The sequence below is a fragment of the Homo sapiens genome, chromosome 11 (genome assembly GCF_000001405.40).
Source record: "Homo sapiens chromosome 11, GRCh38.p14 Primary Assembly".
In the NCBI taxonomy this organism is placed as follows: Eukaryota; Metazoa; Chordata; class Mammalia; order Primates; family Hominidae; genus Homo; species Homo sapiens.
Genome location: NC_000011.10, coordinates 28499647 through 28516635, shown reverse-complemented (window position 1 = coordinate 28516635; position 16989 = coordinate 28499647). Strand labels below are relative to the sequence as shown.

The following is a 16989-nucleotide window of genomic DNA, read 5'->3' as shown; positions in this document are numbered from 1 at the left end:
ATTAAATCATATGTTCCTCAAGGGCATCTTATTTTCTCAGTATCCCCACTGCCAAGCAAAAAGTAGGCACTTAATTGAATTTAATCAAATAAAAAAAGAGTAGTATGGAGTAGAGGAAAAAGAACTTAATTTAAATTACAAAGACCTGATAGGCAAGTTTATCTTCACTCCTCAGCTCATCAGCTGAGGCTAGTTTTATTGCTGACAACTTCAATCTTCCTTCATTGCTAGCACAGTTCTTTGGTGAGCTTCATGACAGTGCCCATGTAACCTGGATCTCCATGCCCACTGATGCCCAATTCTGACAGTCTCTGCCCCAAGTCTTTTAAGCAGAACAAAATCATTCTGCAATCCCCCCACCACCCACCTGGTAATAGCCAATAGCTAATATCTAGGGCAGCACTGTACCAAGAACCAGATTCCTTTCCCCAACCAGCCCATCATTCACTCCACAATCATTCTAGATGACTGTCTTGAATTTGAATTTTCTGTAACAAGCATGAAATAAATCTATATATGTGGTTTCACTTATTTGATTGAGTCTTATTCACCTCTCTTTGTAATAACCCAACATGTTCAAAACATAGGGTACACTTGATGAGTATGAACTAATTAAGTATAACTTCTGTGGTTCCCTTTGGGCTTACGATTAGATGTTTTGTGACAGAAACAGATAGCTGTCTATCAAGATGTATGTTCACCCTTTCTGATGCTGAGATATTTCTGAGAAGAGGCTTAGCTAGAGACTGACTTAGAGACTTTCCAGCACTTCTTGCATCTATTGTGGCTATGTGTTTTTATTAATGAAATGGAAATAGGGGAAATATGTGTCTTGCCTGATCCAAGGCTTTAAAGAAGTGGTTGTAACTTCTTCATGCACTTCGATTCCTGCTGGTTCAATGTAGATTAAAAATGGGACCTATAGCAAGCATTGACAAACTTTTTCTAGGTAATAAATACTTTATGCCTTATTGCCATATGATCTCTGTCATAACTGCTCAACAATGCCTTTATAGTGCAAAGTAGGCATGGCAATACATAAACAAGTATTTGGAACTGTGTTTTAATAAAGTTTTATTTACAAAAAAAGAGGTGAAGGGCCATATGTAGCCCATAGGCTGTAAGTTACCAACTCCTGCCTTATAGGATAGCAGACCATGAGATAAAAGAAGGCTGAGTTCTTGAATCCCTCATGGAGAAAAATCAACAACACAGATCAGGATTGCCTGTCTTGGCTTGTTACATGAATATAATAGGAAAATTCTATTGTATTAGGCCATTGAAATTTTGGTGCTTATTTGTTAAGTAAGTTAGCTTTGCCTTTACTAATACATGATACTAGTACAAGGTTTATAAGTTCAGGATTAAATATGTAGAGTTAAAAGAGCCACCAAGATAAGCTTAAAGCAGAGCCACATGATTTGGTTCTCCTATTTACCAGTTCCCTGACCCTTTCTGGCTCCTAGAATCATTTATTCTTTCTTATGCTTTTCCTCCTTTGCTGCTTTCCTGTCCCCTCTCTCATAGCTTATTAGGCAGTCAATTAAAAAGTGGTAAAACGTGATATATTTTATTCCATAGGCCTGTTTTAAAACTGTAGTAGCCATACTTAATGTACATAGATATCATTATTTCTTTAAATTTAGGTGTAAGATGTCACAGATAACCTGGCAAAGAAAAATAGCCACTATATGCTCTTCACAAATGCATTGCTATCCTCTATGGCCAAACCTCTGTGGAGATCTGTGGGCATAGTAAAAGATCTAGTCCCTTGTTTTGCATTAATGTTCATTAGATGTTCTTGAAGCAATGCAGCTTGAACCCAATGTGCCTCAGAGTGTAGTAAAATTCTCATTTAACTTCTAGTTACAAAGCTATCTCAGCCTAGGCATCAAACATGTGTCCAAAGTTTGGTGGTGGCAAGGTGAACAGGGCTGGGATATAGAAGGTGTCAACACTTCAACAGGGAACAAGTTTAAGAGACAGGCACACTCTGAACTCATAAGCATTCCTGTCCTCTGACAACTAAAGGATTGTAAGTGCGGGGGATGAATTTCTTAGCATGCTTTTAGTTGCAAGTAATAGCAATTCAAAACTCAGATCAACTGATTTAAACCACAAAGGGAATTATCTTATTTGTGTGAAAAAAGCTAGTATGGAATTTAGAAATAGTTCGTTCAGGACTCTGGCTCCATTTCCTTAGCATTCTCTTTTCTCTATCCTCCTATATATGACATCTATATCTTCAAGTGACTTCCCTTGTGGCTGCAGCAGTCTCAGATCTTATAAACACATATCATATCATTCAAGCTAAGAGAGGGGTCCTATCCTTTCTCCAATCATAGATAAAATAGTCCCAGGTTCTGACTTGACTAACTTGGTCGGGTAGATGGCATATGTTGATTGGCTTAGACCTATGGTTTCTGCCCATCCCCGAAACAATTACTGTGTCAAAGGGGATGAAAGAATGCTGATTGGCTTTTGCTACTTAAGGCCCACCCAATCTGCACCCTAACAGTGTAATGGGGGAGGGGTGGAATGGATCTGGGAAGATAATTACAATGTCTACCACATTAAGTGAAGGTCAACACATCATGTACCTTCCCTCGAGTTTCTCCAAGATCCCCATTGTTGGGAACAGGCCCCCCAAAATCTGGCCATAAACTGGCCCCAAAACTGGCCATAAACAAAATCTCTGCAGCACTGTGACATGTTCATGATGGTCATAATGCCCACGCTAGAAGGTTGTGGGTTTACCGGAATGAGGGCAAAGAACACCTGGCCCGCCCAGGGCGGAAAACTGCTTAAAGGCGTTCTTAAACCACAAACAATAGCATGAGCGATCTGTGCCTTAAGGGCATGTTCCTACTGCAGATAACTAGCCAGACCCACCCCTTTATTTCGGCCCATCCCTTTGTTTCCCATAAAGGTTACTTTTAGTTAATTGAATATCTATAGAAACAATGCTAATGACTGGCTTGCTGTTAATAAATAGGTGGGTAAATCTCTGTTCGGGGCTCTCAGCTCTGGGCTGTGAGACCCCTGATTTCCCACTTTACACCTCTATATTTCTGTGTGTGTGTCTTTAATTCCTCTAGCACCTCTGGGTTAGGGTCTCCCCAACCGAGCTGGTCTCGGCACCTCATGCAGGTAGATTTCATGCTACTCTACTCTACCAACTCACCAGAGTCCTGGCTTTGCTGCTTTGTAAGAAATCATCCCCATTTTACTGCTGAGGGAACTGATAATCAGAGAGTTAAATCAGTTTCCTAAGACGTTGCAGCCGGTAAGTGGTACAGCAAAGGCATAAGCACAGCTCCACTGGACTCAGTCTCATTTTCTTATGCCCCACCCCATGTCTCCCGCCTAAAAAATAAACCAGTTAGAGGATGGCCTGCACATTTGGAGACGTCCCAGTCATATGCAAGTCCTATCTGAACAGTGGGCTCTGTTCTGCTCTCTTGACATGCAATGTTTACTGCGAGTATGGAACCTACAGTTTGAGTCTGGAAGAAAATGTGCAGTGAGTTCTTGTAATCATTTCAGTGTCTAAGTACAGTTGACCCTTGAAAAACATGAGTTTGAACTATGCAAGTCCACTTACATGCAAATTTTCTTTCTCCTCTGCCACCCCTGAGAAAGCAGGACCAATCCCTCCTCTTTCTCTTCCTCCTCAGTCTACTCAATGTGAAGACAAGAACAAAGACCTTATGATGATCCACTTCTACTTAATACATAGTGAGAGGTGACAGCATGCTGGCAGCCCTCGCAGCCCTTGCTCGTTCTCAGTGCCTCCTCTGCCTGGGCTCCCACTTTGGCAGCACTTGAAGAGCCCTTCAGCCCACCACTGCACTGTGGGAGCCCCTTTCTGGGCTGGCCAAGGCTGGAGCTGGCTCCCTCAGCTTGCAGGGGGGTGTGGAGGGAGAGGCGCGAGAGGGAACCGGGGCTGTGCGTGGCACTTACGGGCCAGCTGGAGTTCTGGGTGGGCATGGGCTTGGCAGGCCCTGCACTCAGAGTGGCCGGCCAGCCCTGCCAGCCCCAGGCAATGAGGGGCTTAGCACCCGGGCCAGCTGCCTCGGAGGGTGTACTGGGTCCCCCAGCAGTGCCGGCTCACCGGCGCTGAGATTGATTTCTCACCGGGCCTTAGCTGCCTCCCCACTGGGCAGGGCTCAGGACCTGCAGCCTGCCATGCCTGAGCCTCCCCATCTCCTTGGGCTCCTGTGCAGCCCAAGCCTCCCTGATGAGCGCTGCTCCCTGCTCCACGGTGCCCAGTCCCATCAACCACCCAAGGGCTGAGGAGTGCGGGCGCACTGCGTGGGAATGGCAGGCAGCTCCACCTGCTGCCCCGGTGCGGGATCCACTTGGGTGAAGCCAGATGGGCTCCTGACTCTGGTGGGGACTTGGAGAACCTTTATGTCTAGCTAAGGGTTGTAAATGCACCAATCAACACTCTGTATCTAGCTACTCTGGTGGGGACTTGGAGAACCTTTGTGTGGACACTCCATATCTAGATAATCTAGTGGGGAGGTGGAGAACTTTTGTGTCTAGCTCAGGGATTGTAAACGCACCAATCAGCACCCTGTGTCTAGCTCAGGGTTTGTGAATGCACCAATCGACACTCTGTATCTAGCTAATCTAGTGGGGACGTGGAGAACCTTTGTGTCTAGCTCAGGGATTGTAAATGCACCAATCAGCACCCTGTCAAAACAGACCACTCCCGCTCTCTGTAAAATGGACCAATCAGCAGGATGTGGGTGGGGCCAGATAAGAGAATAAAAGCAGGCTGCCAGAGCCATCAGTGGCAACCCGTTCTAGTCCCCTTCCACACTGTGGAAGCTTTGTTCTTTCGCTCTTTGCAATAAATCCTGCTGCTTCTCACTCTTTGGGTCCACACTGCCTTTATGAGCTGTAACACTCACCGCAAAGGTCTGCAGCTTCACTCCTAAAACCAGTGAGACCATGAACCCACCAGGAGGAACGAACAACTCCAGAGGCGCTGCCTTAAGAGCTGTAACACTCACCGCGAAGGTCCGCAGCTTCACTCCTGAGCCGGTGAGACCACGAACCCCACCAGAAGGAAGAAACTCTGAAGACATCCGAACATCAGAAGGAACAAACTCCGGACACGCCACCTTTAAGAACTGTAACACTCACAGCGAGGGTCCACAGCTTCATTCTTGAAGTCAGTGAGACCAAGAACCCACCAATTCCGAACACAATAGTAAACACATTTTCTCTTCCTTATGATTCTCTTAATAACATATTCTTTTATCTAGCTTACATTATATTGTAAAAATACAGTATATATAATACATGTGACATACAAAATACATGTTAATAAACTGTTTATGTTATCAATAAGACTTCAGGTCAACACCAGGCTATTAGTAGTTAAGTTTTGGGGAGAGTCAAAATTTAAACATGGATTTTCTACTACGCAGGGGGTCAGCACCCCCACTGTGTTGGTCAAGGGTCAACTATACCATCCTTGCATTGAATAGAGAATGTGTGTATATGAGTGCGTACATGTGTATATAGTTTATTTCCCAGTACTTTTAAAATATTAACAATAGGTGGCCTTCCTGGGTTCTCTTTAATTGTAAAAAAATCTTAAGAAGTCTACGATACATCACTAGCCTCCCTTCAGAAGCCCTCCAGTGTGTCTCATAAAGTCATCCCAGGGTTGTAACATGCACCAACCCCAGCCTGTCCAACTTGTCATTTCCAAATTAGTGCCCAGACAGACCCACACTTAACACAGGCTGAGTACTTGAGGAAGTCTGAGATTATGCACTCTGAAACCTTCTCCAGCTTTTAATTGCATCATTTGCAATGATTTGGGCAGTAGTATGGTATGTTTAGAGTATGCAAGTATAGATTAAGGCTAAGTATAAGATGTGAGAATGAGATAATCCCAAATCAGCTACTCAGTTTGCATACTTAACATGATTTTGGGCCCGTCATCAACCTCTCTAAACCTCCATTTCTCTTACCTGTAAAACTGGAATAATAATAATAACATATACTTCATGTGGTAATCATCAACATAATGTCTGACACATAGCATTCAAAATTGTTCACTGATACTACTATTATAAACATTAATGTTTATTTTATTACTGTTATGATTATTAATCAGAATTGGTATTTTACTCAAATGACCAAACTCACTCCATTTTCTCACTATTGGACATTAGCTACATATAATTTCCATCTGCTTAATATACTGCCTTTGGGAATCTAATCTTTAATTTAGATAAAGGTCTATTTTCCTCTTTTACATCAAAGGAAAATAAACAAACAGATGCAAAACATATTTTTTAATATCTTGGCTATTTACTTTCTGATTTATGGTATCTAGTACTGTGCTTAAAGTTTTTATTCCATTTCTTTTTTTGTTAGCTGAAGTAGCAGATCTTCTTATAATTTCCTTTAGTAATTTATTTTGATACTTATCAAGTCCAAACAACTGAGACACAGGCGCTGTAAGGAAAATGTCATCTCTACACAGTCAATAGATCCAGGTTTCAATGGGCTTAACCTGAAGCTCTGGCCTGCATAGCACTTCAGTGTTACATCCCAAGGGCCTCGGAGCTAATGAAACATGTTGCCATCCTAATATCTACTTAAGCAAATTGAATGTGGGCATCCAGGAAAATTACTCCATTGTCATAGTAACTCTTTTACTACTTAGTTCAAGAAGAATAGAAAAAAAAAATGATACCTGGCAGCCAACTCTACAACCTAAAATAAAGTTGCAGGAGGTACAAAGCAGAGACAAGTGAGGGATTTAATTCAATATGGAGGAAAACACCTGAAATGCAATGAGCTCCCCATAACACACTCTCCCTTAGCATGCTTAGACATAAGGTTGGGGGTGTCTAAGCAAGAAACTCACAGAATGTGAAATACAGAAGAACTCTTAGGAGATCTAATTTGAGCCCTTCATTTTACAAACAAAGAAGCAAAAGCCCAGAGAGGTAAAACAACTTACACAAGTTCACAACTCAGTTATCAGCCCATACTGAAGCAGAAACAAGGTCTCCTGCTTTTCTGCCCAAGAATCTTCCATCTTATTATTCTACATCTGGGATGTAAAGGCAAAAAAAGTTGCATCCAAAAGATAAGTCTTGCTTTTTTTTTTTTTTTAAATAAAGGATTGACTTAGTGCAACGAGAGGAAAGCAGGTTAATCTTAAACCCATTCCAGGACTGGGCAGTTGTTGAAAAAGTTAGAAAAACCTCACTCATCATACATCAATTACACATTGACTTTGTGCTAAGCACTATGCTGGCTTCCTGAGATCAAAGATGATTTTGTCAAAATGCTTCAGACATTCACAGTTCTTTCAAAAGTAGAATACCTTATGTTTACACTGAAATCCAAGAGTTTGAAAATCTCCAGCTCCAAGGGATTTATTCTCCATTTCACAAACCTTAGAACATATGGCAAAGTTATGGTACTAACAAGCAACAGCTGCAGCCTGATTTTAACTCTATGATGCTTTCAACATCAAGAAAGCATAGAAATTGCAAACCTGTGCCACAGAGGCCTTTTAACATTATCGTCAATGAAAAGGTGGACACTACCTAGTCAAAAAAAGGAGGCCCAGGAAATTTAGACAGTAGATATCATGGTCTAGAAACATGAAAACTGGCTCCCTTATGCACTACGTTGGTCAGTCTGTAGGTTAACATTACTATGCCATGCCCATCTTGGCCTCATGCCAACCCATTTGATTTACCAAACCAGGACCAGGTACTTTGGTCTTATCCCTAAATGATGTCCCTTGCCTTTTTGGTTTAACAATTTTTTTTTGGCAAGAAATAATCCTTAAATACCAAATGATTGCAGACAAAAGAGGTATTGGTAGCCCATTCTTAAATCAGCATCCCCCAAAGCCAGAGTAACCTGATGATTATACAGAATTAAACCAAGTAGGCATTGCAAGAATTAAGAGAGAGCCTATTAGTTGGTGGCCATGAAGAGAAGTGACTAAGGGACAAAAAGATCCCCTAGAGATGTGGAAACATCAGTTTATACCAAGTGAAAATATGCTCCTGCCTGATACTTGGTGGTAGATTTTGTTTCTCTAATTAGACTATCAATGGGGCACAAAATTGGTGCCAATAAATCTTCTTTGGGTGGATGGATAAGTAGGTAGTTGGATAAGAACAGAATTACAGTTAATAGTGATGGTGTTGATAAATTCTAAAATAGAAATGATGGATAGATACATTCATGCAGTCATTCATTAACCTACTGAAAAGTATTTGTTAGGCAGCTATTATATAACAGATTCCGCTCTAGATGTTAGTTACAGCAATAAAATTGACAACATCCTGTCTCTTGTATAAATTCCAGTAGGCTTTACATACTACTGACAGGAAGGAGAAAACAAAAACTGACCAAAAAACATTCCATGTGGTAATAAATGCTATGAAAAAAAAAATAAGGACTGAAGAGGGACTGGCTGATGAGGGTAGAGGCAGGGCTCTGAGCAGGAAATAAGTTTGAAGTGTTTTAAAAGCAGAAGAACAAGCATTTTACAACTGTAGTACAGGACGGGAAAAAATGACGTTAGAAATTAGGCAGACACAAGAGTACGTGTCACTTTAGGGGACATGATGAGGATTTCAGATCTTTTATAATGGGCTGGGAAACCACTGGGAGGTTTTGAGATGATAAGTTGGGTGACCTGATTTACATTTAAAAATATCACTCCAATTTCTTTATGAAAAATAGAATGAGGAGAACTGGAATGGAGTAAAGGTGCAATGTGGTGAAGAGTTTATGATAATCCAGGAAAGGTGTGATGGTCTCAGGGACTTGAGAAGTAGCAGTTTGCGGGACAAGAAGTGGTTAGAGAAGAAAATAACAGGACCAATTGATTAGATATGAAGAAAACAGAATAATTCCAAGATTATTTCCAGGACTGGAAACTAAGCACATCTGAAAAAATTAGGGTCCCATTTCTGAGATGAGAAAGAGTAGGGGAGATTTTTTGAAAATGAAAATCGAGGTTTCTGTACTGGAAGCATTAAGTTTAAGAAGTCCGTTGAATCAAAGAAGGGAAGCCATGTACATGGCTGGATATATGTCTGGAGTTGAGGGAAGTGGTAAGGTCTAAAGTGATGATACAGTTTGGATTTGTTACCCTGCCCAAGTCTCAGGTCAAATTGTAATCCCCTGTGTTGGAGGAGGGGCCTGGTGGGAGGTGATGGGATTATGGGGGTTGGATTTTCCCTTTGCTGTTCTTGTGATAGTGAGTTCTTAGGAGATCTGGTTGTTTAAAAGTGTGTAGCACCACCCCCTTCACTCTCTCTTCCTCCTTCTCCAGCCATGTAAAACATGCCTGCTTCACTTTGGCCTTCTATCATGATTGTAAGTTTGCTGAGACCTCCCAGCCATGCTTCCTGTACAGCCTGCAGGACTTTGAATCAATTAGGCTTCAGGTAGCTCTTCATAGCAATGCAAGAATGGACTATTACAAGTGGTAAGGTCTAATTAATGTAGACATTTAGAAGTCAGCAATGCGTGTGCTGACTGATTGGTAACGGCTGCTGAAACACTGTGTTAAAAAGACTGAGGGCCAGGCCCAGTGGGCTCAGGCCTATAATTCCAGCACTTTGGGAGGCTGAAGTAGGCAGATCACTTGAGGTCAGGAGTTTGAGACCAGCCTGTCTAACATAGTGAAACCCCATCTCTATTAAAAATACAAAAATTAGCCAGGCATGGTGGCACATGCCTGTAGTCTCAACTACTTGAGAGGCTGAGGTGGGAGGATCACTTAAGCCCAGGAGGCAGAGGTTGCAATGAGCCAAGATTGTGCCACTGCACTCCATCCTGGGCAACAGAGTGAGACTCTGTCTCAAAAAAAAAAAAAAAAAAAAAAAAAAGAGACTGAGATTGATTAGCAATTCAGGTACCAATAAACTCCATGATTTTGACACTTTGAACACAGCAAAAGGGATACAGGCCACAGTTACAACTAGGAAGTCATACAGAATACATAATCTCAAGTAAGATGTTTTATATGACAAGATATACCCTAAGACCAAAGTTTGGGTTAGGCATAAATATTGAATGAGTAATCTTTTATAGGACAGAATATGTATAATAATAGTTACCACTCTTTGAGTGCTTATTTTGTGCCATTTACATTATGGTTTCATTTAATCTTTTTAATCAGTTTGAAAAAATAGGTATTATTTTAAAAGTTTGTTTTCCAAGTAATAAAATGAAGATTTCAGCAACCAAGTTCATAAGGCTAGTAAGCAATGACACTGAAATTCAAAATCAGGTTTGTCTAATTTCAAAGTCTATGATTATTCTGTTACATCACAGGAAATATCAAAATAGGGACTAAGTCATAATAAAGACTGGGCCAATATGGTTAGTAGAAACAATTTCAAATCAAAAGCAATGGGGCCTCCCAGGGAGAGAGACCCTACGTCATTTGGATAACAGAGGCAAGCGGAGAGTACAGGCTGATAACTCATTTTCATTTGTTTATTCCATTAATCTATTAAACTCCAAAAGGTAGTGGGGGAAGGAAGCCAGACCAAGACTGAGTTTATGACTTAGACAGGCTTGAGTATGAGGAAGCAAAATGAGGGCTCTCACAAACTTACAGGGCAAGAGGAGTCTACCAGAGTGAAAGAAAATCATTTCCTTAACTATACCTTGCCTTTACAGCTGGGAACTTGCAAAGGGTTAGGCACAGAAGTGTGCACTCTCTTTCCCAGTGTCTCTTCAAGGAAACCCTAGGAGCATACTAACACTCAATCCATCGTCATTACACAGTCACTCAACTTTTTATAGGCCAGGAACCGACAATAATTTACAGATCATACCAGCTGAGTTATGGATCCACCCAAACAGTGAAATTCAAGATGGCAGATACTAAATTAAGTATCCAACATGTACCAGCAACTACCAGCGATTTCCAGATGAATAAGACATTTCTGCTACCCTCATCAAGTTTATTATTCTATTAAGAAATGATATAATACATATGCACACATACACAAACAATTACCAAAAGGCAGAATATAAATGTCTTCAGAGAGCTATGAAGAAAATGTTCTCAGAAAAACTAAAAACATCCTGTGAGGATTGGGAAATGGTTTATGGATTTGCTTGTTTGTTTGTTTTAATGGGCGGAGATAATTAGTTAGACAGAGCTGACCAGAAAGAACATTCCAGGTAAAGAAAAGCAGCAGGAAACTATGACCCATGTTTACACATCCGTGTCAGTAAATCGTCCTGCTTGGAATGCTTAGCAGATGGTCTGGAGATACTTCCACCAGCTACTTGATGAGTTTCCAGCCTGAAAAGTTTGTTGGTGAGTATTTTGGAGGTGGCAAACCTATTTGAGAATTTCATGAAAGTGATAGATCTTCATTCAAGAAAAATATACCCGAATCTCTATGTTAAAAAAAACACACATACACACATACACACCGAGTTACACTTTTTCCCAGTTCCTTCAAAAATTCTAGTTATCACCTTTCCAGGAAAAGCCATGTCCAGCCAGCTTCCCACCAGGTCCAGTCCTGGCTCTTTATGCCAGAAGCCAATGCAACCAGCTTTAACTAAGACTGGGAATGGCCCTACCAGTTGTTCAGTTGTAATTAACGCATGTCAAACTACAGGGCTGCTTAGTCTGGTGGTGAAGCATAAACTGAACTGAAGGGCACTGAACCACTGCCTCCTAAGCAAGGCTCCCCAGTGAATAATGACAGCTCTATACTAGCCAGAGAAAGAAAGAATTAGTGCATGTTACGTGCCAGCAGCTTGCAAAGGAAAATTGCTCTGTGGCTGTTTAAACATTCGAATGAGTTCAAAATAAAAATGTGTGCATACAACCATGCCCTTAACATATGTGCATCACGATGACAATTATTTGAATTCAGTAATTTAGCTTTTGCCACGCTGGCTCTGCTGCTGTAGCCATGGGCATGACCTAATAATCTGAGTAGGTTTTTCTCAGTTTACTTGTTTCCCAACAAGCTGGTTAGACTCTATCAGAAGACTTAGTTAAGAGATTGCAAACGATTGGCCTTGTTTGACCCATAGGTTTATTTTATTTAGCCCATATATTTTTTTAAAAAATCTTGGATTTTCTTTAACATCTTGAAATTAGGAGATTATGCATGAAAATCCAGATTTCTAATGGCTTTTTAAAAATTCTGGAGACCTGACAATAATGGGCCCATTGGACATACTTCTTGATGGCAACAATTATCTTAAAATGAATTACAACTGCTCCTTTTAGGAATAGCATGAGCTATGTAGTTTGCCCCAGCCCTACTAGCTCAAGTTGTAGTATGTTCAACATGCTTCATGCATTTATATTACCTGCCTGGTCCCTGAACATTTAAGTATGCAATTTTTTTTTCTTTTCTCCCTCTCTTTTTTTTTTTTTTTTTTTTTGAGACAGAGTTTCACTCTTGTCGCCCAAGCTGGAGTGCAATGGAGTGATCTCGACTCACTGCAACCTCTGCCTCCGGGTTCAAGCGATTCTCCTACCTCAGCCTCCTAAGTAGCTGGGATTACAGGTGCCTGCCACCACGCCCAGCTAATTTTTTGTATTTTTTAGTAGAGACGATGTTTCACCTTGTTGGTCAGGCTGGTCTTGAACTCCTGACCTCAGGTGATCCACCTGCCTTGGACTCCCAAAGTGCTGGGATTATAGGTGTGAGCCACTGCACCCAGCCTAAGTTTGCAATTCTTAATCTAGCTAATGCATCATAAATTATCAGGACAGTATAACAGGATATTTATGAATATGAGCTATAGAATCTGGCCTACCGGGTTTGAATCTTTTTTTTTTTCCCCTCGAGATGGAGCCTTGTTCTGTTGCCCAGGCTGGAGTGCAGTGGCACGATCTTGGCTCACTGCATCCTCCGCCTCCCTGGTTCAAGCAATTCTCCTGCCTCAGCCCCCAGAGTAGCTGGGATTACAGGTGCGTGCCACCACGCCTGGCTAATTTTTATATTTTTAGTAGAGACGGGGTTTTACCATGTTGGCCAGGCTGGTCTCAAACTCCTGACTTCATGATCCACCTGCCTTGGCCTCCCAAAGTGCTGGGATTGCAGGTGTGAGCCACCACACCCAGCCTGGGTCTGAATCTTTACTATCTGCTAGCTGGGTAAAATGAGTTACTTAATTTCCACAATCCTCAATTTTATCACCAGTAAAATGTTGAGAATAGTGTCTATCTTATACGGTTTCTGAGTAAGAATAAAGTTAGCTATGTTTAGCACAATGCTCACTATGTCCTTACCTGGAAATAGTGGTCAAAGTATATTGATTTACCTTTCACTAACAATTATTGTTCCTCCCTGGGGAAGGATCGTACTTTTACACCCCACAAGGGTCAGGCTTAGACATATGACTACTATGGGCAAATAAAATGTGAGCACAAGTGAGGTGTGTCACTTCCACGGGAATCTTTAAAGGCAGTTTGTACTTTACCAATACTGTACACCACTGCAACTGATGCTGCTTCAGATAGTGACCCATCTAATGCCTGAGTCCTGGGAGGCGTTCAAGGACAATGTGGAGGAGAGCCCCCAGCTGACTCTTGGCAGACATGGACAGCAAGTGAGAAATAAACCATTTTTACTTGAAGTCATTGAGATTTCAGAGTTACTACAGCATAACTTGACCTGTTTTGACTGATATTATAGTGGTAATTATTATTTTATCATTATCATTAACATAATTATGACTACTATTTGAAGTGATTTTCCTCGCCAAACCCTACTTTCCTTTATTTCCAGAGCTCCTAGCAAAGAGAACAGAAGACCCATAAGTTCTGCTCTTTTTCACGTCCCCCAATTCCATCATGTACCCTGAGCTTACTTTGCAGGTATCCACTTCTCACAACCCTCAACATCCCAGTGGTCACAAGCCTTCAGAGAAAAGGGAAAAAAATTATTTCTTTTTACACTAAGATTTCTTCTCCCTTCTCAATGTGCAAATAACCAAAATTGTATTCATATCTTATAAAAATATGCAAAGAAAATGTCAGTTTTTTCCACTTTTTATTTCCTCTTTCTTCAAAGCTGCTACCCTTTTGGATAGTAGGAGAAAATTATCTTTAGTTGAATCCAGGAAATTTAGTCTGATTCAGTAATGTAAACCTGAAGGTGGCAAACTAGGACCTAAAAGCCCACCATGGGTTTGTGTGTATAAAGTTTTGTTAGACCATATTCACCTGCTCATTTACATATTGTTTATGGCTTCTTCCATGCTACAAGGGTAGAATTGAATAGTTGCAGTACAGTCCATACAGCTCATAAAGCCTACAATATTTGCTCTCTAGCTCTTTGTAGAAAAGGTTTGCTGGTCCCTGATTAAAAACCTTTTTTTAGTAAATTACCAGTCTCTATTTGGATAAAATTCTTAATCTTTCAAATTTCTCTCGCCTCATTTAACTCCTCTCCAAGAAGATAGCTGGATATAAGGGGGTCTATGGTTTCTGTGCCCTTGTGGAAGAGCTTTTTTTTTCTTTTTTTTTTTTTTGAGACAGAGTCTTGCCCTGCTGCCCAGGCTGAAGTGCAGTGGCGAGATCTCCGCTCCCTGCAAGCTCCGCCTCCTGGATTCACGCCATTCTACTGCCTCAGCCTCCCGAGTAGCTGGGACTACAGGCGCCCGCCACCACGCCCGGCTAACTTGTTTTGTATTTTTAGTAGAGACGGGGTTTCACCACGCTAGCCAGGATAGTCTCGATCTCCTGACTTCGTGATCCGCCTGCCTCGGTCTCCCAAAGTGCTGGGATTACAGGTGTGAGCCACCGCGCCTGGCCGAGCCAGGTTCTTGAGTGCACATGGTACCCTCAGGGTTCTTGCTCATATCTACTGCACAGTGGGTGATACGGATTGCTCCCTGGACTAATGACCACTGACATGAGACTGGTCTTACTCCTGAGAGTTCTGTTGACATTCCAGGCTGAAGTTTGCAGCTGGCAAAACTCATGTCTGTTCTCTTTTTGTCTGTCATAATCTGGTATCTTCCGTGACGGTGTGGCTGTAGATGATGCTGAAAGCGCCACCAAAAGCCAATTGTAACCTCCTTGCAGTCATCAACTACAGAACCACTTTTATTTAATGCCAGGAATCTTTTCTGGCAAACTCCTCAGATAAAATCTCAAGTAACCTCTGCATCCTGTCCCAAGCGCATATGATAAACTCTTCATGGGAGATAAGGGTGGTTCTAAAGCGCTACATTCATGCTTTCTTTCCACTTAACCATACTGGGATGCCATGTTTCGCATTGGGTAGATTACCTATAAGGAAATTATCTTCTAGAATCTTAAGCAGGAAAGAGGGAGCAGAAATCTCTCAGCCCTCAGCATTTTCTTTAAATCACCAAACATTCTTCCTCTCTCTGATATTCAATTCTAAAGGTAGTAGGGCACATAGCTGCCCATCTACTGTTTCCACCCCAAATGTCTCTAGCTGATATGAGTATTACCACTCTGCTCTTGCTGTCTATTTAGGATGTCTATTACTGAAACTACACAATCAAGCCTGCCAGCCAAGGCTCTCAATATATTAAAAGGCAGGATAGTGGGAATATGAGAATAAAAGATATTTAGTATATTAGTTCCGCTTAAAAAACTTGGGCTTGAAGAAGATAAAATTGTTGCAGCTTTTAAAAATCCTAATAGGGTGTCAGAACCTAAATGTTATCTTTCTTTTCATTCCTGCTGAAATGTGATAGATATAGCACTTGGGCTTACTGAGGAAAAAGTCATATACACTGAAAATCAAAAGAGAAGAACACATTAAAAGCATTCAAAGCCGGGTGCAGTGGCTCACGCCTGTAATTCCAACACTTTGGGGGGCCAAGGAGAGTGAATCATTTGAGGTCAGGAGTTCAAGACCAGCCTGGCCAACATGGTGAAACCCCCTCTCTACTAAAAATATAAAAATTAGCTAGGCTTGGTGGTGAATGCCTATAGTCCCAGTTTTCGGGAGGCTGAGGCAGGAGAATCGCTTGAACCTGGGTTGCAGTGAGCCGAGATCTCGCCATTGCACTCCAGCCTGGGTGGCAGAGCGAGATTCTGTCTCAAAAAAAAAAAAAAGACATTGGAAAAATATTGCTCACATTGCATATGCACAGGATCAAACTCACTTGAAGAGAGCAGAATACAGGAGAAATTCATTGTGAAAACCCTACCTGCCAATGCATTGGGACCACCCTCAAGCCTGTTCTTAATCAAGGTTCACCTCAACAGATGTAGAATAGGCATTTTACAAAGTGAGATTTTCATTCATGTAAATGGGCATTTCTTGTCAAGGGTCTTCCCCAACTTTAAAATGAAGTGGTTGGATTGGAAGCTGATCGAAGTCACTCTCAACTCTTGAAACCAAGATCAGAAGAAGGCAATGCAGCATAGTAGTAAGAGGACAGTCTCCAGGTAGTACAGCCCTGGATGTGAATCCTGAGCCCACCATTTAGTCATTGTGTGTATCCGTTCACAGCCACTACAGGAGTTTCTATGTCATGGGCCTCTGTTCCTAAGGCATCAGGACTTCATCTTGGTATTTGATTATTTCCTCCCATCCAGACCCACATATTATGGATTTGCCACAGACAAAAAAAAAAAAAATAGCAATTCCAACCACCTGCCCTTTAAACAAACAATAGAAAAAGTTATTACTTTTAATTAAAAGGACAATTGCTCTACCCAGAATACCACATGCATCAGCAAAGTTAGATTTCAGTTTGGCAGGCTGTCAGAATCTGATTGAACACACCTCTCTTCTTATTTTTTCTTATGACTGTTGAAGGTCTAACCCAGTCCCTGGGTTTGAGCCACCCAAGAAACTTGGACACTGAAATTTTTGAGAGTCCCTGTACTTACAGTTCCTGACCTCTGAAATGCCCAACAGTGTCTTTTTTTGTGATCATTTTATGATTTCTCCAGACTGAGAGGCCATAACTCAAAGTGATCTCTGGTCACTTATTCAG

At 41.5% G+C, this 16989-nt stretch overlaps 1 protein-coding gene across 2 annotated transcripts in view, besides 1 other annotated feature; it reads right to left on the bottom strand.

Moving 5' to 3' along the window:
• Positions 1-16989, bottom strand: part of METTL15 (methyltransferase 15, mitochondrial 12S rRNA N4-cytidine) — a 424088-nt gene that overhangs the window by 15840 nt on the left and 391259 nt on the right. The window lies entirely within an intron of this gene.
• Positions 4017-4517: an enhancer, noted in NCBI's record as "H3K27ac hESC enhancer chr11:28533666-28534166 (GRCh37/hg19 assembly coordinates)". NCBI's record gives its function as "activates a minimal SCP1, AML or CMV promoter by ChIP-STARR-seq in primed H9 embryonic stem cells {active_cell/tissue: H9 hESC(primed)}" and the evidence as "EXISTENCE:reporter gene assay evidence [ECO:0000049][PMID:30033119]".